General features: G+C 33.3%; 1 long non-coding RNA gene across 1 annotated transcript; it reads left to right on the top strand.

Annotated features, from left to right (window-relative positions):
• The first annotated feature begins 499 nt into the window (after nucleotides 1–499).
• On the top strand, nucleotides 500–14,722 carry LOC124903225 (uncharacterized). The gene is made up of 2 exons (XR_007063892.1): nucleotides 500–624; nucleotides 10,735–14,722. It is a non-coding gene; the product is annotated as an uncharacterized LOC124903225 (long non-coding RNA).
• The last annotated feature ends 13,147 nt before the right edge of the window (nucleotides 14,723–27,869 follow it).

Below are 27,869 nucleotides of genomic sequence, written 5' to 3'. Positions count from 1 at the left end.
AAAGGTTTCAGTCTCAAAACTTCCTTCTAACCAGATCCTAAGCATAAGCAACTTGCGTACATGTGGCATTTATGGTAATGTGAATTTCTTTTCCAGGCAACAGAGAAGAAAGGGATCTGTATTAGTCTCCTACTCCTGTGCATGTTTCTGAGTCCTCAGGATCTCAGTAATCTTGTCAACCTGTTTTGTGGCATCAGGCTTAATCCAATACCAGCCTCCCTCTTATAGTGCGTGAAATGGACTGATTGAGAAGAATAGGGTTTCTCATTAAATGAGGCATTAGATTCTCTTCCTCTCAGCCTTACTCCCTTTTTATATGATTAGCATGGATTTAGATGGTGGCAGTGAATTACTTTATCTTCAGAGATGTTACACATTTATAGAAGCAGCTCTCCTTATTGTTTTCTAGACAGTATGGTCCCAGGAGTAAGCGTCACTGAGCAGCAGCCCTTCATTAAAATTTCTTGTGTCCTTTTCTTTTTCATGACAAATCTTTCAGGAATCTAAGAGACCAGTAAAAGATAACCTTATGATACATTATGTGCTGTTGCATTTCTACTCTTTCCGGATGCGAAAGTGGATATTGACTTCATAAATTCAACACTACTTGACTTTGATTGACAGGTAAGGTGATATGCACAGGACTTTGGGAGTGAAGGTTATACAAAAGAATTAAACAGGTTTTCTCTAAGCTTCTATTGTCTTTGTACTGCATAACCGGATTCTTCTAAAACTGGGATTGTCAATTTCATGTTTCATTATATTATGTAAAATTTAGGTGTTTATTTTGTGAAATTAAATAGTTATATTTCAGGAGCTTTCTTTTACAATGTGAACTAATGAGAATATTTGAAAAGTTTATCAATCTGACTTTCTTCTACAAATAATATGATATTAGAGGAGTTGGAGTAGGATTTGGATTAATATAATAGAAATTCTAAAAAGACTGGCTTTCATTTTTAATAGTATTTATATGTACTAACTGTATGACCTTAGATAAATCATTTATCCTCTGAAGCACACGGTTTTTACTTATAATATTAGACAAAATTCTTGCATTTCCTTAGAGAGACATTAAGTGGACCAAAGAGGTTATTGTAATAGTAATGTAACAATATTAACACTTTCAAAACTGTAGGGAAGTGCAAATAAAAGTATTATGCTAGATACTATGAGATTTGATACACATGATATTATGAAATGCATTTATATTTTGATAATTATTTATCAGTCTTAAATGTAAATGGTAATTTCTTCATGATCCACAGTGTATGACAGGATTAACATAAATGGTTTCTATATAATTTGGCAGAAATAACACTAGGTGAATTAGAATGAAAATAACATGAAACTACACATTGCTTTTCTCTCCTCAGCTAAATCACCTTGTGGAACCACTATTGGGAAATGTCCTGGAAAAGTTAGGTTACCTAAAAAGTAAAAACACATATATTAGTATCATAAAGACAAATGTATCAAATCCCAGACAAAGCTAAAGAAAACCATTATTTTTATTGACTTTATACAGTGTGATAAATAGTAACATTAGCTTTTAAAAGATCATATGGAAGACATCAAAATTATTCTTATGCAAGAATACTGTAATCTGCTAAGTCTGCAGGGTATTTGTGGCTGGATTGATTTTACCTCATTAAATATGAAAATGAATAAGTTAACCCAGGCTTAGTGGGCATGATATATATAAATATAGAGGCATTCTGTTATTTTTCAGAATCTTGCTATTTTTGCATCATGAAAAATTAAAGCATAGGTATTTTTAAAGCATTAAATAGCTTCTTCAAAGGCAAGGCATAAAATAATCAGTCCTGGATGCATGTCATTTGATAGCATAGTTGCCACCATCATTATTCCTAATTACTCTTGACATTTTGTCTATTATACCATGAGGTTCCTCCGAGGACAGAAATAATCAGCTGGAAGTGAGGGCTAGCTAATTATCTATATCGTATGAAAAAAGCTGTGGTATTATAGATGAAACATCAATTATGAAAATTGGTGATAAATCCTGACAGTGGAAATATATCTTGGAAATGACTTTAAGCCAAAAGTTTAGAAAACTTTGCCATTATTTTTTTTCTCCTCCATAAACCAATAAAATTTCATTTGCAACAGAAATATTTACAAGAACAGTTAAATGAATTGCATAATAAGGAACTACTTTATAAATTATAATTATCTTTTGAGCCAGAAAATGCAGAGTTCAGTGGGTTTTAAAATTGATTATTTATGCAAAATAATTATATATGTTGTTCCTGTGCTTTGGAAGGCAATTGTAATTGTTATTTAGATTTTGTTCTTGTTATACAATAAAACACTGGTTAATTTTGTAAACATAACTATATAAAATTTATAAACATAGTTGTAAATTTTGTGTGTATTTTTAACACAAAATTTGACCATATCATGCTTTTGGATTTGAATGTGGGTTGCTACAAAAGTCATTTGCAGTTTTGCTTCACCAGGGTACCCTCAAGCAAAGGTTAATTGATGAAAAGAATTAACTTACTTGCAACACGGGAAATGAAGTTTGTTCCGCATAATGCTATAACAATGAGTTGGAAAATGAAAGTTTTCCTCGTTTTACTGAGACTCTTACCATATTTTACAATTTTTACAATTAACATTGTGTGTTCCCTGCACCCAATTCTTTTTTCAACTCGTTTTGAATTTGTGCATTATGTTAGTGCCATTATACCATGAAATGTCTAGTTCATTGAGGACTCTGTAAATGAAGGAGAACATACATTTTATCAATGGGAACAACCCCACCAACTGAGTATACCTATAGCTGGGAATATAATTACAAGCAAATGTGATCAGATTGCCACACCTTAGCTGTTCTTATGTGGATCTCTATATCAGTGTTAGCATCTCATCTAGGTGCAGTACTGCTAACCTAGGGGAAAAATAGACATCAAGGATGCTTTTGATTATTTCAATGATTAGGTGAGAAATCTACTGGGATTTAGTGAAGAGCAGGCATACCAATTTATGAACTAGTCTGTAAAATTAAAAATTGCCCCATCCTAAATAATTGGCATACAAGTAGTATTGGGTGCACAAGATGAAATCTGGCATAGAGAGAAAATTCTGGTCTTTTAGTATCTAGTTACTTGTATCTAAAAATTTAAAAACATCTGTAAAATGTTAATATAGAGATAGATATGATTGCATGTGAATAATGCATAAAATAAATATGCATATACTATAGTCTATCCGTAAATTTACTGATACAGATTTGCAATAAAATAATGTTTGAAACTTTCTGCTTTAGAAAAGTAAATATCTATTCAGTTATACATGATAATTACTATCCCTCAGGATTATCTGTAGATGTGGGACATTTCTTTGATTACCTTCAGGATGAAGAAACCAGTGAAAGTTTTAGCTTTTTCTTTTGTTTTTGTTTTGTATTTTTGCCTTCTTTCCCTAAAGTCTAAACCCTTTTGCTTAACTTTAGGATAGCTTTTATCAGTGAAGCTCCACATATTTATATATATATATATATATATATATATATATATATAGAGAGAGAGAGAGAGAGAGAGAGAGAGAGAGAGAGAGAGAGAGAGAGACAGAAAGAAAAAGAAATAGGGATTGTTATAGGGATTTGACATTAAGCACTTGTCTGATCTGCTTAGGCAGTCTCTGTAAGGTTGTTGTCTTCCCATCTGATGCTGGAGTTTAAAACAGTCAGTTGGAAGAAAGAAGAATATAAACTGAGATAGAGCAAGGACAAGCTGGAACACATGAGCAGAAGCAGGCAGTTCTCATTGCCTCTAAGCTTACTGACCTGGGTGCCCTGTGGAAGAAGTTGGTGCCCTTGTCATGGAGCTAAACACAGAACTGGCCCTGGAAAATGAGAAGATGAAAACAGACATGGGCAGATTGAGCATTTGCAAGCCACGTACTAACCCTCACCAAGGAGATGAGCCAACCCATAAATGTGTTGGAGCTATGACATGGCTGTTGCCTCACTTCCACCTTCTAAATATCACACAAGAATCTCTTGTAGCCCATTCTAATTGGAAACAGACAGAGAAAGGAATACTAGGCTATGTAGTTCAGCCTAGCCTAGTTGATGCATTCCAAATGCACAAAAATAGTCACTCATAAGATGAGAACTGTGTCTTCCACTCCGAGGCTTAAATGATTTGTGCAATCTATTCTCATAGAGTATGGCTATATTCTAAATAGTGTGTATTGCGTGATTTGTAACAGGCCAACAGCAGGCAATATAAATATGGCCTGAGTTGTAAATGGTCAAACAACTCTGAGGCAAATACATTTTCAGTCCACACATATACAATTAATGTCTATAGAACCGGTTCCCTAAGAAGTGAATTAATTTAATACAACACGTTATTTAGATTTATTGAGAATTTAATGGCTAGAGTGATCTGTGGAATACTTAAGCAATAGAACATGACAAGCAATGCTGTAGTTTTGATTAATGCACTTCTTTGTTGCCTCCCATCTGCATAGAAAGATATTAATCAACTTTACCTCATGGTATGCTATGCCTTGTTGCAATTATAAAATGATTCTTTATTAGTAACATTTCTAAATTATTAATAATATTTGTTTTCCTTAATAAAACTGACACCTAAAATGTGTAATAAAAAAGTAATAGTGCATATATTTTTCTATGGTGGAGTGTTCTATTATTAGTTATGTGATTCAAGAAGTTTAATTGTCAGTATATGTTCCCCATAGTCAAAACTAAAACCCAAACTTGGAAATAATTAAAAGTGATAGCATGTTAATGAAATATAGCAGGTACACTCATGTACGATTTTTTTTATTATAGGTTTTACCTACTACTATAAAAGGCACATTTATACCTACTTCTTCATAGAACGTTTCAAACTGCCACAAAAATATTTTCATATGGTATCTACCCCCCCAATACTGCAGGATCTTATAATTGGGGGCATAGCCGGGTGTGGTGGGGCATGCCTGTAATCCTAGCTACTTGGGAGGCTGAGGCACTAGAATTGTTTGAACCCAGAAGGCAGAGGTTGAAGTGAGCCAAGATCAAGCCACTGTACTCCAGTCTGCACAACACAGATTCTGCCTAAAAAAAAAAAAAAAAAAATTGAGGGCAGTTTGTAAAAATATGCAAGTTTAGTGTCCAAAAGCTTTGGCAATAAAGTAACACAGTTTTTTGTTGTTTTTTTTTTAATACCAACTTCTAGTTCTAGTACCATGTCTTTCTCTCTCTTTTTTTTTTTTTTTTTTTTTTTTTTTAATGAGATAGAATCTAGCTCTGTCATCCAGGCTGAAGTGCAGTGGTAATATCTCGGCTCACTGCAACCTCTGCCTCCCGGGTTCAAACCATCCTCATGCCTTAGCTTCCCGAGTAGCAGGGATTACAGGCATGTGCCACCACACCAACACTGGGCTAATTTTTATATTTTCTGTAGAGACAGGGTTTCGCCTTGTTGTCCAGGCTGGTCTCAAACTCTTGGTCTCAAGTGATCTGCCCGTTGCGGACTCCCAAAGTGCTGGGATTACAGGTTTGAGCCACTGCACCCAGCTCTCGTACCATTTCTAAAACTTAGCTATTCAGGATATGAAACCTTTCATTTTTAAGATAAAGGAACTGAATAATATAACTTAAAACTACCATCCTCTTCAAATTTGTGTGTTTTGTGTTTTTGAATTCTACTTCATCTCTAACTTTCCTTCTCCTTTTTATTAACTAACCATGGAAGAGACACATAAGGAAAAAAAACATATTTTTAAAGAGGAGGAGAGAGAAAAAAAAAAAAGCATTGACTACTTGGTAGCTTTGCCCAAGGTAAAAAAGGATCATTGTGTGCATGTGCAGTGATTTTACTATAGGCACTCTAATCCTACTAATCTGCTCTAAAATATTATGGTTCTCTTGAACAGCTGTCACTTTTTTTTCCCTATATTGCCATTTTTTCATAGCCTTCTAAGTAAATCCCTCTTGCATTGTTTGATTAATTAGAATATCTAAGGAATGAGAAAAACCAACTTCCTTCACATGCTTAAGCGGACTTTAGATTGTATTACATTATTGGCAGAGAATGGAGCTTGTTTCTTCATTAATATGTTAGGTCACAGACTAACTTAGGTTTTTCTAGGTAACATTAAAGCCAATTGATCCTCTCTTAGAGTTTGCTGGAAAGAGCTTGTCTCAGATAGCGTTTCCCTGTAAGCAAGCTTTGAAAAAGAGAAATTTTAGTATGCACTCTGGAGATTAACACCGGAAGAATGGAAAGGCAGAAGCAGAATTGGACCGAGGGTGAAGTTAAGCAGTAATTCTGTCACAGTGAAGACCTCAGATGTCTTGCAAGGTAGCTCTGAAGCTGGGATGAACCCTTAGAGTTGTATTAAGTGACAACAAGGAGGGTAGATGGCTATATGAGCACAAGAATTAGTTATTGAATGTAGGCTGTCCTGGGAAGTAGCCTGACTTTGAGGAGCATGATATTAGTCAAGCAAGAGAATTTGAAGAAGACTGTCAGCTCAGCCATCTGCCAGCAACATTTCCACCAGCAGGAGGAATGTGTCCTTTGGTCCTAAAGGAGCAGTACATTAGAGAATCCCCTACAGAATGTTATCAATTTCCTTCATGCATTTCCATACCTCCTTCAGAATTTCATTTATTTGGAATTTGAGAAACCTGAGCTATTTGATTTAAAACAACACTGAATTTAGATCTTTTCCAAACTAATAAACAATATTTGGTCCAGAAATGTATCAGACTAAGCTAATAAATAAATCTTAAAGGCAATTAAAAGAAACAGAAGAACAAGGTATAGTCCCCAAATCAAATCATATCAAAACAAAACAAAATGTCTAGCAATTATGTAACTGTTTGGATAAATTATAAGACTATCATCTGATATTCAAGATAAGCAAATTCAAGAGGAAATATATTTCTCTTCTATTTCTGTTCACTGAAAATTTTAGAAAAATATTATTTGATAGAGCCACCTGCATGCATTCCGACTAGTACACTGCTGCTTGGCATCTACTGAATGTACCAGAATTCAAGCCAGAATGAACAGATTCCATTTCAACAGTCTGAAAACACTCAAAAATAACCAGACATGGTATTAGCATGAGAACAGACATGTCACATTCTGAACTACAGGTTAATATTCTACTTTCCTCAGTATACTTTTAAATAAATATGTTCAAGTTATATGTAATAGGAGAGAATTGATTATTGCAAAAAACAAGGTAAAACTGAAGTCTTTCTGTGAAATGTTTTCAAATATTTGGAAAACAGCCTGTCAAAAAGTCAATGCACGTTAAATGTAGTTGAAATACAGTTTGGGTGGTAATTTTATTTTACAGTAAATGTTGCATTAAAATTAGTCTTTAAGTATAAAAGTCAAAAGGCATATACACCATTACAGAATTAATCAAATTATAACAAATTCAGTTGCTTGTAGCTATCTCCTCACAAAACTATACCTTCATTGAATAGGAATAGTGTTTCTATTGAGTAGGAATATTGTTCTTATAAATTTAGACAAAAATAATATTGTAAATGTGGCTTCGTATTATTTAAAGGGCCAATGTTTGAAAAATCCCCAGTAAGTAAAATGGTCTTAGTTTTTTACTTTTTAATTTTTGTAGAAGTTGTTGTAGAATTATTATTATTATTATTTTCCCACTAGTCGTTGAATTCCTTGTGGGCTGGGTAATGTGGGATTTGTCTGGATGGCTGCAGGACTTAGTGCAGCATCTGGCATACCGTGGTTGTCTGCTTATGTCCATGAAAGTGCCAACGAATCAATAAATGCATTCTGTAATACCTGAAGGGAGAAGTCAGATTTCCCACACTAGGGAGGAGGAGAGCATAAGGTTTTTCACTTCTTTTTCAAACTTGAATAGTCCAGGTCATACTGTCTTGCAAATATGTTAGTATTATAAATGGTCATATTCATATCATGGCAACTTTGAGTCTTATCTGAAGCAACAAAAATATTGTTGTCTCTTTACGTAATCTTGAAATAGGGAAATAATTTTAACATCCCAAGAAAATAATTTATTATTGCTCATATAAAAGCCCTAGCTTATACCTTTTGTAATATGGATGGAAGTTTTGTATTTAGTATTCTTTTATACTCTTTTAAGATACTTAATTAAGATACATTCAAATTTGGCTCTAATAATATAAACCAATTCAGACTACATGACATAGAGTTAGTAATAATCTAATGTTAAAAACATATTGTACAAAAAAATCCAGTTCAAGGAGATAGGGAAATAAAATACAATCTAATGAAGGACAAATGAGAATGAAACATATGTTTTTGGATGACCAACAAACAAATCAAAGTGTAAAGCCTGTTCTTCACCCTAAAAAGTTTCCTCATTTTTCATTAAGGTCAATCTCTATGCCCCATAGGTTAACACTGTTGTGATTTCTATGGATGATTGAATTTTAAATTTTATCTCAATTTACCTTTCTCTTATTAATTTAGAAACACCAAAGGCATAATATTGATATAACTGAATTTCATATGCATTCACAAAAACAAAAGTTAATTTTAGGATGCGGTATCTTTATTGGGTGTTTGCAAAAAATCAGTGCTGTCTTTGTAAATTTTAAATGAAGGATTAGGATGATAATCAAAGCATTATTTTAAAATATAAACAATAGCCACTGCTTTTATTCAAGGAATAAGTTTAAAAATTCAACCAATTTTATATTCCATGATCTTACAAAACAAATGGAAATGATTTTAAAAGCAAAGTAAAATACATTCATCATAAAAAAATTTAAGTGTAGGACAGTTGATAAATTAGGACTATATTGTGGTGAGCTAGTTATATATAAATAGAATAATACCATAGCAAATAATGGATTCTCTTTATATCAAGCAAGCATAATGCATTAATAAATATAGTGCAGGCTGGGAGGGATGAAAGCAGTGAAAACTTTCAGAAGGGGAGTCATTTATTTTTGCAGTTAATAGGAGATTATTTTTAGATATTTTGTTACTTATGCCACTAGCCAAAACATTTTATTAGCCCTCGTATCAATCATGTAAGAGGCTGTTTTTTTGTGTATTCAGAGGGCAAGCGCTTGAGTCAGATGATCTGAGATTTTATCTTGACACTCCCATTTGCAAATGTGTGATCTCTCCTGTTCAGTTTCCTTATCTTAAAATGGGGGTAATAATCGTACCTACCTCAGAGAATTGTTGTGAGCATTAACGAGATAAATAATGAATGTAAAGCCATTAGTCCAGTGCCTAACACTAGATAAGCCCTCAATAAATGCGTGTTTTTGTTGATGCTGTGGTGCATGAATAAAAAAAGGATGACTTTACATGTATGAATTTATCTTAATGTCCAATCAATGAAAAATTTATTCCTTCATTCAAAAAGCATTGTTGTGAGCATGCTGTGGATTTAGCTGAGTGCAAGTGGAGCTCCAGAATGAATGGTCTACTGTCTCTATCCTGGAAAAATGTCTGGGCTAGTGTGAGAAGCAAGCACATAACATTGCATTACAATATAATAAGATCAATGCTATAATAGCAATATATACCAACTTCTCTATATAGCAACACAGAATACATTGACCTTGATTCTTGAGAAAAGACACATAGATAAACTTTTATGTGATTCATGTCTTAAAAAATGATGATGAGAATCTCAAGCTGGGAGATGTGAATGAAGAAGGGAAGAGGAGGATGTTCTTGGCTAAGGATTCAGTTTGGGCAAAAGCAAGAAGACACGAAAGAGTCTGGTGTACTAAACAATGATAAGTGCCATATGGAGAAGTGATGAGAAAAGATAAGGGAGTTGGAGAGGTGATTTTGATTCCTGCATGAAGACTCTTGGCGTGTGAAATTCACTGTGTTGTCTCCCTTTTTGTTGTCAGCACAATAAACACAATCATCTCTCCTTATATACTGACTTCAGAGAACAATGTTGTATAATTAATCAATACTCATTTAATTAATAAGAATCTAGGACTTATTTTACTCTAATAGAAGAGTGAACATTAAATATAAAGAGATGAGGAATTCATCTAATATTTGGCACTTTTTTACTGTGCTTCTCAAACTGATTAGTTTTGGCACAATCATATTTGTTGAATTTAATAATCAACTAAGGACAAAAAATCAAATATTTCAAGCAGCTGAGACTTTCACAAATCTTTTTTTAATACATATTTTTACTAGCATAATTAAGCAATTACTGCTTTTGGAAAATATTCATCTATGGCAAGGTGATTTGTTCAATGCCTTTTTTGTCAACGTTTTCACAATATTCTCAACAGAATCTACTGGCCCTGATAGAATTAGCTTACTCTTCTCAGCATTGATACAAATGTAAACCATTCTTTCATGCCATTGATGGTATTCTCTCACATATTGTAGTCATTTGTTGTATTCGAGAGGGTTCCACAAAATTTTGAATATGGTCACCACATGCACAAATCCTGTGAACTAGATAGCCAAAGATATTTCCTTGGGAACACTCTGGCATACATTGCCCGATAGAACTCTGAAATACCAGTCATAGTTGATGGGACGAGGTAATACCACTTAACCCAAATGATTAAGCAGATTTGAGTAAGGTCCTATATTCTACACTTTTAACATGCTCTGGTGTGATGCACCCTATTGGTCATAGGAACATAATTTATAGCACAAAGATTTAAAACATGTGAGCTTCAACAAACATTAACTGAGTTTTATTTTTCAACAGGAGAGGCCAGAGAAATAAGTGTGGAAGATATTAAATCATACAGCAACCCACATTCACTCTTGTTGAGAATAACTTATGTAAATAAAGAATGTTACAGATGGAAGTATGTAATTGTAATTCCTGAAAACAGTGTAGATGGAGAAAAAGTTTGAAAGTTCCCAGCACAAAGTGGAAACCTAAATACTTGTGTTGTTTCCATAAAACACCTGAAGAACAAAGCATAAATGATACCAAATGAGTAAAAACAACTCCATGATCATTTACATTAGAAGAATCATATGCAAGACCAATAATGATTTTTAAAAACTAAAGTTTTATGTTGTGAGATTATCTAACATCTTACAGAACTTTTCCCTTCTGTCATAGGCACTTGCTCTGTAATGTTAACTTACTTGATTATTAAAACCTCTAAATCAGCTAGACACCTAAAGACCTACATGGCTGACTATATAGCATTGTTTCTTTAAGGTAATTTAAACTGAAAAGGAGGATAACACATATTTAAGTAATATGTAGCAATTGTTCAGTTTTTCTTTTTTCTTAAAATTTTAAATTTTGCAAATAATTTCTTAATTCAGTCTTGAATGTTATAAAATTATATTTTTGTTATTTATATAAAATGATAGAGTATAGAAAATGTAGATGATCATTGCAATGATTTGTGTCACATAAACCCAATTGTGCACCCAAATAGATAGTTTGGATCTTGTAGAAATAAAGTATTTTATTGTGGACCAGAATGATTGGTATGAAAGTATTATATAGCCCATATCCTAAAATATCATCTTCATAGTACATACATGTGCACTGGAAAATTCGGTCTCAAAAATTAATGAAATCAAGATTTTTTTTAAAAAAAGCTTTGCATATTGATTTCAAGATTTTTTCCTAAAAAACTGCATATTGGTTTCTCAGTTACTTGTATAACTATTCCAAATCTCTTTTTTCCCATATGAACAATATTCTTCAGACATAAGTAGTTTGTTGGGTCCACATTAATTATATGTGAACTGTCTTTCATCTAATGGCAAAAGGATAAGATTCACTGAATCTCTTCTTTATATACAAAGAGAAAAAAGCAATTTCAATATACTATACTTTCTTAATAGATGCCGATACTTGGAAAGAGCACTGAAACTACTTTTATGACTATAGAAACATATTGATTCATCATTTAAGTAGTTCTCCTATTTTAGCTTAAAAGTAAAATCTTCAGATCTGGAAGAGCTCTAGAGGTGAATTAGTAGTATGCATGCATTAATTCATGAAAAGTTCAAACTGGTCTTGAGATGGCATTTTAAAGTGTTGACGAAGTTTAATCATTCTTTTCTTAGGTACTGGATATGACCTCAGCTTAAGTTTTGTATTGACTTCCAGCAGAGGTTCTGTACTGCTGTTTTTACTTCCTTCGTTAAAGTACTCAACATATTAACTGAAACAATCAATCAGATATACATCCACTAATATTCATGACATATAGTATTATCTCCTATATTTAAATTAATAGTTATTACATATACTACATGCCATTGCTTTCTTTTTTTATTATGTATTTTCTATTTTAGTTACCTCTCAGTGAAAAGTGATTTAGAAATTGTGTCAGTTTTGCAGATAAAATATGTGTACAGATGTTAAGTGCACATTCAAAATTGGCAGTACTTAACTCAGCCGGAGAATGGGGATCTGTTTTAAGTGTGCACGTTGTAATTATTTAAAGCTTTGTACATTTGGCATTTACTACATGAACATGTACCCTTCACAGTGCAAATGTTTCCTGTAAGTGGTATGTGAGTACTAGCTGATAAAGCTTTGGAGGCACTTAAGCACCTAATAGAGGTTTGGGGTACAGTGAGTATGAAGTGTTTTAATGAATCATGAGATTTTTAAAAGTAGCATTGATGCCACACTTTTTATCTGTGAAATGATTTGCATTCTCATTTTCAGATAAGAGAACTTGAATCCTAGAGTAGTCATAGGAACCATGAATGGCTACTTCAGAGTACGACTAGAGAATAAAGTATATTTCCTAGCGTACCATTTATATGGAGACATTTCTAAAGGAAAGGTATTGGATGGGGTAGGAAACATCAAAATGTTACTGTGTTCTGTGAATTTTTATCAAAAATAGATGAAGTAATTAATTCTGGATCAAAATAAATGCTTTCTTGATCACAGTCATTAAGTGGCCAGGTTTGTTTCTTATCTGTTGACTTAGTTAACAGATACAGAACACTACTGTTTTAGTAATTATGGTGTAGTTTCTATCATCCACTTCTACATTGAGCTCCTTCAGGGAAGGGGTGATTGTTTATTAATCTTTTTGTTCACATAAAGTGCCCCGACATAATGGGAAATTAATAATATTTGTTGGATTTATAATGATGCAATTGGACATTTCTGGAAAGAATTCACCCATGTTGAAAAATAAATCAGTGGATTTGAAGCTTGGGTAATTCGAATCTCATAAAAGATTTCTTAAGAAAACACTAGCATAGCGTTCATATGGCCCCTAAAATGCTAAGCATAATTTATACCCCCATATGGATAGACCTCTTTGCATCCTTTGATAATATGGGTCATTTATAGGGGTGAAGGATGAGTTGAATCTTCTCCACACCAAAATAAAGCATGTTCTTAACTGATCCCTGAGTCAGGAAGCCACAGGTAGTAATATCTTCCTAACATCTTCCTCCCTTTGCTTGGTTATGTGGATGTGCCTTATGCATAATTACAATTAAATGCAATTGTGCATCAGCAAAGATTTTTGGTTAGCATACCACAGCCAACTACAAGTAGCTGCCAAGTTTTTCTCTCTTGGTGAGAAATATAAGAAAAACTGGCCAGAATTTTAGAGAGAATAATAACTTATACCTACAAAATTTTCATTTTTAATGTACTTAAATATATATTGAGGACAAATGTTATTTGATCAGTTAAATCAAGGCATCACCTGATGTTATTGTGAAGTTCCTTATATAGTATGTTTAGAATTTTTTTTCCTTCTAAGTGTAAGGGGATTTGTGTGTGTTTGTGTGTGTGTGTATGTGACATGCCTTAGTCTTGCCCTTACCTGAGAAGTCTACTATGAATTTTGAAGATCCAAAATTTTATGATGCAGATTTCCCAGGAGAGTTTATGTTCTGAAATACTGTTACAAATAGCGGCACAAGTGGACGAAGGACTGAGTTCTATCAGACATTAATTTGTAATTAAAGAATATAATATTTTAGAAGTCTGAGTAAATTATTCATAGGAATTTGGTGCTTAGTAGGTTGCCAGGGAGTGAGCTTACACGGGAACTTTAGAATAAGATCCCCACTTCTTAAGTAGAAGTCTTTATTTCTAGAACAATTTTTTTACTTTAAAGTATCTGTAAAAAAATGTACATTGTTAGTGATTTTGAAATAGTAGTATAATGGCATACGAATTTTTTATGAAAATGTGGAGTATCTTAGCCTGTTGGACAGTTGTTAATATTTTTAGAATTAATATCTATATAAATTACAGATATTCAAGTAAGCCAGATTTGTGTTTTTACTTGGATATGCAGAATGAACAAGGACAGGGATTTTCCCAATGTCTTATAGTTGTGCCCAAATAAATTTATTATTGCAAATGTGATGGAACCATCACCTTTCTTTATTGCTATGTAGTTTTACAATGGTTTTTGAATACCCAAGCTAACATTTTATTTTAAATGGGTTATATTTTATCTTCTAATATCACCTGAAGAGTCTTAAAATCAGCAGTAAGTTATATCCAAGGAAATTGGATTCTATCATAGAAATAGAAACCCCCACCTAGCATGCATTGTTTGCTTCAATAATTGCTTGTGTTCAATTTTGGGATCCATTGTGTCTTTGAGCTTTTAATGCTTTGTTCATTTACTCATGTACTAACAAATATTAAAGTGATCTGTATGAATGCTATGTATTTTCAACCAACCAATTTTAGTCTTACAATCCAAAATAAAATCTTCAAAACTGCACCTGTTTCTGAGATTCATTGGTTTTCCTACTGTTCTTTATATATATACACACACACACATATATACACACATAGATATACATACACACACACACATATATATATATATACACATGCCAAATTTCCATAAGAGTCAAGACTCTTAAAATGTTGATTACTTTCACGGCCTCGATTAATCAAATATTAGCTATTTACATTAACAGTGTCTTTAGGTATGATACAAAGGTTACTATTTATCTTACATTTAAAAAGCAAAAAAATGAAAAAAATGAGTGTTTAATAATTTATACTTCAATTCGTTATGAATATTGATATAATAAAACATTGTGGAAAGTACTTGTGGCAAAATATTAATTGAAAAAATCTGGAAACAAAAATATATACAAATACATATGAATATACATACATATATACACAGACATATACGCACATCGTCTTGTATGTTTTCAGTGTGTAATGTATGTATAAAAAAAGGAATAAAGTATGCAATATATAAAACAGCTGTTCTCTATGTATAGTGAGATTATAGGACTATCATTCTGTCTATGGTGTATGACTGCTGCTGCAAAAATTCTAACTATTTAGTGAATTCACATTCAGGAAGAAGAATTATCTTTATATTGTCTCACTGTCCCCATCTGCTTCACTTTTCCTATAGAGAAAAGCAAGAAGACAGATGTAAAAGCAGGCATTCATTCTAGAAACATTAAATATTTAACAAAAATTGGATGCCAAGCAAGTTATATAGAAATTTGCCATTTACGTGGTTTTAACCACTTTTTATTTCTCAGCTACTGTTTTTTTGGTCTTTTTTTGATAGGCTTTTAATTATACCCATAAGAATGAAGTTACTTTGTATTAAACTTTGTCCTTAAATGACATTCTAAAACAATTTTAGTTTTCCTGAATAGCAGTTTCTTGTTCACTGTGTATACTACTACAAGACATATTTTTCAAGACCATATGATACCTATTATTAAAAGCTTATATGAATATTTTAAAATTGTATAGAAATATAAAATTACATTTTGAACATTATTTTAAAATTTACATATCTCAGTTTCTCAGATCCAGATTTTCTTACTTTTTAAATGTTCATATACATATTATTTACATAGATCATAATCTATTCTACATACTTTTACACAGAGATCTATTTTACATGACTTAAAATCCACTTGTAAAAGATATCATGGCTATAAATAAGACAATGAGGTTTTAAAAAGAACAAAAATATGCAGAGTTTTATAGACAAATGTATTTTCTCAAGTAAAACTAAATTTGGCATTAAGATTTTTCATAACCAAATGAATAGTAATACATGCCCTTGTTACATAATTACTTTTTTCCAGAATTAAAATCTACCCTAAATAAAAGATTTTCCATGAAATACATTTTGATAATGGAAATTTATATATATTGATAATAATCAATGATATATTGGGTAATATTTTTATGTTAACAGTAAACCGGTTTATCAGAAACAGATTTAATGTGGTAATCTTTACAGCTATTGCCAATGAAATTTGATATTATCATTATAATTAAAAGTAACATTTCTGGCCAGGCGCGGTGGCTCACGCCTGTAATCCCAGCACTTTGGGAGGCCGAGGCGGGCGGATCATGAGGTCAGGAGATCGAGACCATCCTGGCTAACACGGTGAAACCCCGTCTCTACTAAAAATACAAAAAAATTAGCCGGGCTTGGTGGCAGGCACCTGTAGTCCCAGCTACTTGGGAGGCTGAGGCAGGAGAATGGCATGAACTTGGGAGGTGGAGCTTGCAGTGAGCTGAGATCGCGCCACTGCACTCCAGCCTGGGCTACAGAGGGAGACTCCATCTCAAAAAAAAAAAAAAAAAAAAAAAAAGTAACATTTCCAAGAGTACTGGGAAAGTGGCATTGAGATTGATGGCTATGGGTTCTACTTCCCCAAGCCCAATGAAAATGAGACCATGCCTGGAAAATAAAAGCATAACAAATAAAATAGTTATGGAATTCTGTTAACACTGTTCTTACCTTCTATCGACTCAGTAAATATGGCATTATGATTAAAACCCTGGGGTTTGAAACTCAAAGTACTGGATTTTAGTTTATGTAGTTGTATTTACATTTTATGTTGGACACTTTAAACTCTTGGAAACTTTAATTTCTGTATTTGTAAGATTCCTGTCCCATGGGAGGAGTATAGGGATTAAATTAGAAAAATTTATTCTGAAGAATTATTTACAGGTATCAATACAAGTGGATATCAATAATGAAATGCATATATATGGTGAAAAATTACTATGGGGAATCATATCAGTAGAATAGGCAAAATTACTGGGGATAGATGATGCCTTGAAAGCTAGGAGTTGATAATGTACTGCAAAACTGATTCTACATTTAGTACATTGAAGATCACATATTTAACACAATGCTAATCACTATGCATATATGCGGGTACATATGTGTGTGTCTATCTGTATGCATATACACATACTGCATATATACATTTAACACCTGCAGCATTACAAAGTTACCAACTTATGTTTTGGTTCCAGAGACAAGTATTTATTTTTTCAAAACATGGTTTTTATTATCCTCTTGTCAATAAAAGTTATTATACAAATATATTTTTATATCTCAAATGGTGCTTTTCACAATGTTATTTATGTGACTATAATGGAAAAACAAGTTTAAAATTTAAAATTTAAAATTAATAAGAAATTAATAAGTTAAGGAATTCTGTTAATACTGATTCTTACCTTCTATCAACTCAGTAAATATGGCATTATGATTAAAACCATGTGGTTTGAAACTCAAAAGTACTGCATTTGAGTTTATGTAGTTGTATTTACACTTTATGTTGGACACATATTTCTAAACTTAAAATTATGTTGTTGTTTTTTTTAATTGGCCTTAGTTTATTTTAGTCTTTATTATCTAGATTTTCTCAACTACATGATATTATTCTTTTGTTTTAAAAGTGTTTATGTAATACAAGTCTTGAGTTATATAAAGGAGGCTTATACTCAATCATTAATTTTATTTAACACAGTTCATAAGAAAGCACAAAATTCTACTCAATCAAGTAAGTCAGAATTCATTATAACATTCAGGTCCACCCTAATCAATATATCTGCTCTGTGTAGCTTAATTATTCATATATACTGTACAAGCGAAAACTGATTCCAAAGCCTTGCAAGTTGAAACTGATGTCCAAGGAGGATAAAAACACACTCTCTGGGTGGTTTTGAAGGTTGAGGTTGGAAAGGGAAAAATAGGGCTGTTAATCATTAAAAATTTTAAAAAAAAGGTGCAATAGATGAATATGCTTACTTTGGCTACAATGACATTTGGTAACATTGAGAATTGTCCAAAATATAAAAAACATAATAGGTTACCAAGGCAAGTACCGAGTTAATCCTCTGGCTTTCCTGGTCTTTTCACACAGGCTGTATAAACACTTGTTGGAGACAGCGTATGGATAATTTAAAATTGATTAAATGGCAGAACTAGTTGATCTTAAAAGCCTCTACTTTTTTTTTTTTTTTTTCTGAGCCACAGTCTCACTCTGTCGTTCAGGCTGGAGTGCAGTGGTGCGATCTCAGCTGACTGCAACCTCCGCCTCCCGTGTTGAGGAGATATGCTCCTGCCTCAGCCTCCTGAGTCGCTGGGACTACAAACGTGGGCCACCACACTCAGCTAATGTTTTTTTTATTTTTTTTTTAATAGAGACAGGGTTTTGCCGTATTGGTAACTCAAACTCCTGGCCTCAAGTGACCCGCCTGCTTCACCTCCCATAGTGCTGGGATTGCAGGCATGAGCCACCGCGCCGGGCCCAAAGCCTCCACATTCTTATGTATTACAACCTTTCATCTTCTTATATGTAACTCTACCTTCCAGCCTTTATAAAGAATTGTCTCAATATCAGGAAAATGTATCTCCCAACTCCAGACTTGTCCTTGCTTCAGTCCATTTTTTATATTGTTTTCCATGTTGCTGCCAGAATATTTTCAAAACAATAATATGATTATGTCATGACTCTTCCCCCTGTCCTCCAAACTTTTATTTCACTTAACAGTTTTCCCTGCTTGTAGCACAATGCACACTAAAGCACATCTAACAAGGCCCTTCACCTTAAAGATTTATCACTTTTCCACCCATGCCATATGCTCTTCTTTCAGGCATGCTGGGCTAAATGCTATTTGCTGAACTTGTCATTCACTAACACTTAATAGTTTAGCTAGTTTATTCTCTCTGTACATTAGGCAAATTCAAAAGGATTCTTTAGTGCACTTGCAGCCTGTTACGTCTCTGAAAAGCTTCCATGACTACTTTTTATGCAGTTAGGCTTTTCTTTTGCGAGCCCCTTAATACTCTGTGCATGTCTTCTTTGTAGCATGCATTGCATTAAGATTGTTTGTGTATGTGTTTATTTACCTCCTTCAATATGAGCCTAGAGAGTAGGAATTTTTTTCATTCTTTTATTTCCTTATCTCAGCAGAATGCCATGCATATATGGTAAGTTGCCAATAAATATTTGTTAAATGACCAAGTCAATTTACCATTCCAATTCTTACTAATCTTCATATATTGGCTAATAATTAGGACTTTATGTAAACAATGGTTATAGATGGAATGATCGTGAGATTGTAATGTATAGGCCAAATAAAATTTTGTTCTGTGATTACAGTGCAGATAATCAGAGTTCTGTAAGATAAAATAAAGTTTAACATTAGTCTAAATGTACCCTTGGAAACAAATTAGGTGACTACTCAAGAAAGAGAAAGCTGAGTATACAAGGAACTATCGATAATTTACTAGGAGTGATGTGTACATGGAGGTAGTAAGCAGGAAAGTCTGGATAAATAAGAAACAAAAAACTAATTAGTTTCTTCCAGAAAATAAATAGAAAAAAATAGGAGACAAATAAGATGGTTGTTAAATGAGATGATTTCCATAGTAGTCTTCTAAAAAGCTTATACTTATTTTGTTCCATCTATCTATATATCTATCTAATCATCCATCCATCATCTATTCTTCTATCCCTATATAGGAGTATGACTTTTGAGTTGAAAAGTGACAAACATGATGAAACTTAAACAATTCAAAACAATATACATATAACTCTAAGTCTTATCCCATTGCCATACGACATTAATCTTCATTCCAAAAGAGCACAATTAACAGTTTTTATATGTATGTATAGTTCAAGAAATGTTCTAGACTCATGGAAACAGATATTTTGTTCTGCATAAATAGTGCATATTACACATACTATTTGCTTTTTTAAGAATTAATTTTAAGGTTATTCTAAACCAGTATATTTTGATAGAGTTTTTAATCAGTTGAATACTATTCTCATATATGATTGGGACTGTAATGATCTTCCTCAGTCTTTTATCAATAAAAATTGATTCCCATTGTTTGCTCTTCAAAATAGTGCTGCAAGAAATAGTCTTCTAATTGTGCCTAGCATATTTCTGTGAGTTATCTGTAGGTTTCATTTCTAGAAATGAAATTTTTAAGATTTATAATTACTACAATTTCTAGGTAAGCCTCTCCCAACATTTTCAATTGCAAGAATATATTGGTTGTTATCTCTTATGTTTGTGTGTGTGTTTTTCTTTATATACATACATAATCTAACAGTAATTCTGTAATTAGTCCTATTACTGAGTACATTTTTTATAGCTTTTAGTTATTCTCTTGGGTTTTAAATGTACACAGTCTTCAAATGTCAATGTTGCCTTATAGTTCCCAATTATATTTTCTTTTACTTTTCTCATTCCTGATTTAATAGAACTGTTTTATCATTAAATATGGTATGCTTTGGTTTTAAAATTATGTTAGGGAACTATTTATTTGAAAAAATTTTGTGAAAACACTTGAAGGGTGTTCAGCATAATATTGGGCAAAATTAAGTATTGTTTCTAAAGCTGTGTAGATTCTATGACAATTGAACTACTTATATGGTGAATTGTGTTAATAGAGTTCATAATATTGAACCTTTCTAGATACTCTTCCTTAGTCATGGTGTATTAGTCTTCAAAGTGTTCCAAGATTCTAAATTTTTAATATTTTATTTGAATTATTTTGGATTGATATTCATAAAGGAATTTGGTCAATAGTTTGTGAATACGTGTGCATTTATGCATGCATGAGCACTATCGTAGAGAATATACTTTTGTAAAATAAAATTAAGAGGTTTCCTTTTCCAATCTGTGCTCTAGAATAGTGTCAATAATTTTCTATTACTTAAATCTTTATAGAATTCACCTGAAAAATTCTCATTGTTGTCTTATTTGTAGAATGACTGGGAGTAATTCTTTGAAAATATTTCCAGTCCCTTATGCAGTAAATGACATGTTCATATTTCCAAGGTCGACTTTGTTTATTTGTAGTTTTACAGAAAAATCATTAATATAATGCAGGTTATCAATTTATTGACACAAAGATAAACAAAATATCCCTGATTGTTCTTTTTAATCCTCTTTACATGTTTACTTTTTTAGCCCCATTTTATTTACATTTGGGGTATTTTTGCTTTTTCCCATCCCAGTTTTCTTTTTCTTTTTTTCTTTCCCTTTTAGGTTTACTAAGCATTTTCCCAGTTTGTTTTCTTTAAGGTAACACTATATCTCTTTTTACATTAATAAATTCGTGTATATATATATATATATATATATATATATATATATATATATATATTCATTCATTCCTTTTGCTTTCCCAGTTATGTGCAAGGGTGTGTGAGTGAGTACAAAATATGTTTGGAAAGGCTAAAGAACAATAACAAAATGCACATTCAGGTACCACCACCAAGGCCTTTTACCTGTTCCTTACAATTAGTAACTACCCTAAATTTTGTTAATCATTCACCTGATTTTATTTATAGATTTTACTATCTTTGTGTGCTTCTATGAATAGTATATTCTATATATTTTTTTGTCGCAATGCTAGCCCAAGACTCCCTTCTCTGAGACATTCTTCCTTTTTCATGAACATAGCTAGCACCAGTTTGTGACTTAATAGTTTTATTAGCTAGTTACATGACTATTGAATTTTCAGGTTCCAACAGCCTTCTTCCAGCGTGCTCTCCCTCTGTCCTTTTCAGTCCAAACTGCCCTGTTTATGCTTGTAACATTCCAAAGAATCTCATGGGTCTCCTGTGTAAGTCACAGAGACTCACTCCATTAGACAGGAGGGCTCTTCCAAAGGACTTTTCAAGATAATTTCTTCTCTTTCTTGGTTTCTGCCGAGGTGACTGATGAGATCAGTGAATCATGTGCCTAATCACTTCAAAGACCCTTCTTTGTGACTCAATGCTATGACCTTTTATTCCTTCTGAAGCACTAGAAAAAGGTTGTCCAGTAACATACTTGGTTATCTCTCTAAAGCATGCTTTTTAAACAGTGAATATTCTTATTTTAAATTTTCTTCAGTCTGGATAGGTTGAAAATTCCCCTAATTATCAAGTTCCAGTTTTGTTTTACTTAGTCATTCTTCCCTCAATTTATCAATTCTTTTCTCTCTCTCTCTCTCATTTTATTGTAAACAGCAAGGAGAAATCAGAACACATCTTTAAAATTTGTAGAAGATCTAAGCTCTGTATCCAAGTTCATTGCTTACAAGTTTTGTTTTCCACATAAATGTAGGACATAATTCAGCAAAGATTGGCCACAATACAACGAGGATCCTTTTTTCCTCCAGTTTCCAGCAACATGTTTTTCAATTGCTTCTGAGGCTTCACCAGCACCACTTTTATTGATGATTTAGGTTTTCTCTAACAGGTTTTCTCCACATAATTCTCTTTGTACTCACCCTCAACAGGAGGATTTCATATTAACTACCAAAATTCTGGTTCTGATTATTTAGGTTTTCTAAAAAACAATCTTGCTTTCCTCTACTGTGTTCCTCACTTCCTTCTCAGCTATCTCCAGCAGAGTATTTAATATTCATTTTCTAATAACAGTCTGTTCAAGGTATACCATTTAAAATGCTTCTAACCTCTGGCCAGGCACGGTGGCTCACGCCTGTAATCCCAGCACTTTGGGAGGCTGAGGTGGGCGGATTACGAGGTCAAGAGATCGAGACCATCCTGGCCAATGTGGTGAAACCCCGTCTCTACTAAAAATACAAAAATTAGCCGGGCATGGTGGCGGGTGCCTGTAGTCCCAGCTACTCAGGAAGCTGAGGCAGGAGAATGGCGTGAACCCGGGAGGTGGAGTTTTCAGTGAGCCGAGATCACGCTACTGCACTCCAGCCTGGGCAACAAAGCGAGACTCCATCTCAAAAAAAAAAAAAAAAAAAGAAAAAGAAAAGAAAGAAAAAAAAATGCTTCTAGCCTCTATGCAGTACCCAATATGAAAGCCACTTCTGCATTTTTAATTATTTGTTAAGTAGCCCCCCATTCCAGTTACCAGAAATCTGTATTAGTTTCTTATAGCCACTGTAAGAAATTACAAAAGAACACAAATTTATTATCGTACAGTTCTGGAAGTTGGAAGTCTAAAGTGGTTCCACAGGGCCACATTCCTTCCTTCCAAAGACTAGAGAGAATTTGTTTCCTTGCATTTTGCAACTTCTAAGTGTTGCCTACATTCCTTGGCTTGTGGCACCTTCTTCCATCTTCGAAACCAGAAGCATAGTATCTTCCTTTCTTTCTAGACTTCCATTCTCACATAATCTTCCCTCTTTTTCTGAACCTTCTGTGTCCCTTTTACAAGAATTCTTGTGATTATATGGAGTCCACCTTTCTCAATATCATTAGTTCATTCATACTTTAAAGGTTTTTTGTACTATGTATTCTAGAAATTAGGACATAGGCAACTTTTTTTTTCTTTTTTTATTTTTGAGATGGAGTCTCACTCTGTCATACAGGCTGGAGTATAGTGGCACCACCTTGGCTCACTGCAACCTCCACCTCCTGGGTTCAAGCGATCTTCCTGCCTCAGCTTCCTAAGTAGCTGGGATTACAGGCCCCCCACCATCATGCCTAGCTAATTTTTTGTATTTTTAGTAGAGACGAAGTTTCACTATGTTGGCCATGCTGGTCTTGAACTCCTGACCTCAGATGATCTGCCCCCCACTTGGCCCCCCAAAATGCTGAGATTGCAGGCATGAGCCACTGTACCCAACTGGACATAGGCAACCTTGAGGATTTATTATTCGCCCTTCCCCAGAAGGGGAAAAATTATTGTCATTACCTGGTACCTATTTAATCACTATTTTGGAAGTATGGGGGTGGGGCAGAGGGAATGGGGACAATTTACTTTTATTTTACAGATTTCTGTTCCACAAAGAACCATGACTATACTTGAAAGACAAGAAACCACATCAACTGGAAAGCCTGGCCCCTGAAATGAATGCATTGCTTTCAGTAGGATTTGAAACTTTTTGTTTTTGTTTGTTTATGTTTCCTTAAGAAGGTGGCTGGTGAGTTCTATATATGGAAAAAAGAAAAAAATTATTGACACTTTTCACACACACATACAAACAATTATTGTAGGAGAACCAGATCGATAATCAGGAAACCTTTTCATTTTTGTGGGAACATAGGAATATTAAAATTTCAAGGCCCCCTTAATGTGATATATGTCACTTCCATGCTTATTCTTAAACAATTACAGCAATCTCTGGGTTTTCTCTATATTCTTTGGCTAAATGGATATAAAAGTTGAGTGGAGAATTCTGAGGAAGTCTTTGAAGATGATGCTGCATGATGCAAAAAGAGGCAGGATCCATTAATATAACTTACAAGACTACTCATGGAACACCTGACTGAACTATTGTCCTGACTGAAAATAAATTATTATTGTTTGTTTAGCCAGTGAGATTTCTTTTTACTTTTTAAATTTTGTGGGTACATAGTAGATGTATATATTTATGTGTTAATGTGAGATATTTTGATACAGATATGCAATGCATAATAATCACATCAGGGTAAATGGAGTATCCCTCACCTCAAGCATTCATCCTGTGTGTTACAAACAATGCAATTATACTCTTTTACTTATTTTAATGTACAATTAAATTATTTTTTACTACAATAACAAGCAAATTCTAGGTCCTATTCATTCTGTAGCCAGTGAGCTTTGTATAGTGGTTTGTTATCAAAGCTAACATTTCTTGCTCTAATATGCTATATTTCATTTTAGTATCAATTTTTCTTACCCAAATAGGGAAATGTTATTAATATTATTTTTTATTTCTAATTCTAACAATTATATATAAAAATCCTTTGGCTTTTCGATGTGCATTGCCATATTATTTGTGAATAATGACTTTTATTTATTTCTAATGCTTACCCCTTTCTTTTCTATAGAAGAATCTGAAGGTGTTTTTATTTCCGTTTTCTCTTATTTCACTGGCGAGGCATGCCAGAACTGTGTTGAATAGAAGTTATGAGTACTAATGGTAGGCTTCTTTGGGTTTTTTGATGTTAAATAAGATTAACATCAATATATGATATCCAATACAGTTTCACTTTTTTTTTTATATATAACTTTCATCTGATTTTTTTTTCAGGATAAGAAATTTCCCTTCTAATTTTAGTTTGATAAAAATACTTTTAAAAACAATAAAAATAAATGGAATTCTGCTAGATATTTAGTCATGCACTGATACAATAATGTATTTCTTCTTTTATTTGCTGTGGTAAATTCCATTCTGTGACTTTCTGTTTATCCAACTGAAGCAGGGTATTTCCCTGACCCCTTCACGGGACTCGCAACAGTGGTACCTCGTTTACTCAGCCCACTGCTCTCAACTCCTTGCGGGAGGGAGAGCACAAATGAGGTGGAAAGTGGAGTACACAAGGCTGGAACAGGCCTGCTGCGTCGGCACTGGCAGGAACAAGCTCCACGCAGGCCCACTGGCAGCATCCGGAGGGGGTGCCTCTCATTCCTGAAGCCCAAGAGGGCCTGTTACAGGACTCTTTTAGCTCTGCCATCTGCAAATGGCTTAAGTGTGAATAGCTCAGTGGGCCCTTTGCCTTTTAGTGTAAGGTGGCTGCCCTCCACTAGCGAGGGCAAAGGGCCAGTGCGACAGCCTTTTGTTTCCCCACTGTGGCTCCCGAGCTCTTGTCTGACATCTAGGAAAAATGAGATTGCACAAACAAATTGAAGGATGGTAAATGAGTGGGATTTTATTGCTGATAAAAGTGGCTTTCAGTGGGAAAGGGAGCTGAAAAGCAGATGAGAAAGGTAGGTAACCTTCCCCTGAAGTCCAGTCATCTCCATCCGGATTTTTCTACAAAGTTACACTGTTAAGCTCTCTAAAGTCAAGCCACTTCTTGCCAACGTCCAGCCATAGTCATGTCTACCAGCTGAGTCTGGGGTTTTTATAGGCATAGGATGTGGGGCAGAGCAGGCCATTGGTAGTTTAGGAAAAGGCAACATTGGAGCAGGAAAACAGGGATAGAGGTTCTCACTTTGGGCCACGGGTTTCAGGCTTTATGGCTTGAAGGTGGGATTTTGTCAGGGACCCACCCCTGTCTGCCTAGAATTTCTGAGCCTCCTGTCACTATCACAAACATCACAAGCAATCTGCTTTTTGGAATAAAGTCAACTAGGTTATGATGTATTATTTTTCAAATACATTGCTCAGTTTTATTTGCTTGTATCTTATTTAGAATTTTTGCATTCAGCATCATGTGTGTTTTTAGATGCTGGCATAATTTTTTCATATTATTAACTTTTAACATTCTGAGGCATCTGTTCATATCCCTTTTGCTCATTGTAGCTTCTTAATAACATTTCGAGGTCTGGAGAATCTGTAGTTATATCTCCTATTTCATTCCTAACATTGTTTATGTGTGCCTACTCTCCTTTTTTCTTGATCAGTCTCACCAGAAGCTTGTCACTTTTATTAGACTTTCAAAGAAACAGCTTTGGCTTTGTTGATAGCAAACATATGTTTGATTTCTATTTTATTACTCTCTATTCTTATCTTGACTGTTTTCCTCTAATTTCTTTAAGGTTTGTTTTACTGGTCCTTTATTAATTTCCTAGGAAATATGCTCTCTTCAGTTCATTATTTTTCTTTTCTAATATAAGCATGTATATAGAAATAAGTAAACTTTTTTTTTGTAAATTGGCTGATAGTGAATATCTTAACTTATGCAGGACATATATGGACTCTGTCAAATATCTTTACATTTTTTAAACCCTACTTTTAAACCCTTAACAAGTGTTCAAAAATTCTTATCCCAATAGCTGTGCAAAAACATCAATAGGCTGGCTTTGAGCAACAAGCCAGTTTACTGACCCTTGATTTGGCCTATTTCTCTTTAAGTAATATAACCTTAACTGATAAGTTTTGAAATATTTTTAATTAAGTTTATAAATATTTTCCAATTTCTAGTAGCACTGTGACTTTGACTCAAAAATATTTGGAATCTTTTTTCTTAATTTTGTAGCTTATACTTTCCTGGTCACCATTTTATTTTTAGTAATCTATTTATACTCTCTGTAATACAGATTGTAATGTCCTTCCGAGCCCTTGAAATTTGTTGAGGTATATTTTACAGTAAGTGAATATTCTATATATATTTGAAAACAGTATGTATTTTGTATTAGATTCAGTGTTCTATAGGACCTATATACCTTGTTAATTTTCTTAGACAGATTCTCTATGCATTCATCTAAATCTCTATTCTACCATTTTTGTAGGTATTGTTAAATTCGTAGATGATAATCAATGTAACTATGTAATTTCTATAAATTTTGCAGCTATGCAGCATTTGAATGTAATTTTTTAAAGTACTGATAAATATGTATTTGTAGCATCTCATCTTGAAGTTTTCATTTATTGTGTGTGTGTTTTTTTTAAGTTGTTTCTGGATGGAGATTTATTTTGATTTACCATTCTTTGGATACTTATCCTTCTTGAATATGTAGGTTGGCGTCTTTTATCAGTTCTTGAAATTTTTCAGTCATTATCTCTTCGAAGATAACCTCTTGGAGTATAATGGGTAAAGGATAAACACAACAAAATTGAATATGAGTTTATTGTTCAAACTGGAAATAGATAAATCATTATTTATTAGATTATATATTTGTGTATTTAAATATTTTATCATAAGCAGTTTTTAAAGCTGCTTAAGTTTTGGTTTTTGTGTATGTCTAGAGTATAACAGTGTTTTCATATGAAATGTTATTAG

The sequence above is a fragment of the Homo sapiens genome, chromosome 13 (genome assembly GCF_000001405.40).
Source record: "Homo sapiens chromosome 13, GRCh38.p14 Primary Assembly".
NCBI lineage: Eukaryota > Metazoa > Chordata > Mammalia > Primates > Hominidae > Homo > Homo sapiens.
Note: the sequence above shows the minus strand (reverse complement) of the source record. Positions and strands in the feature narration are given on the sequence as shown.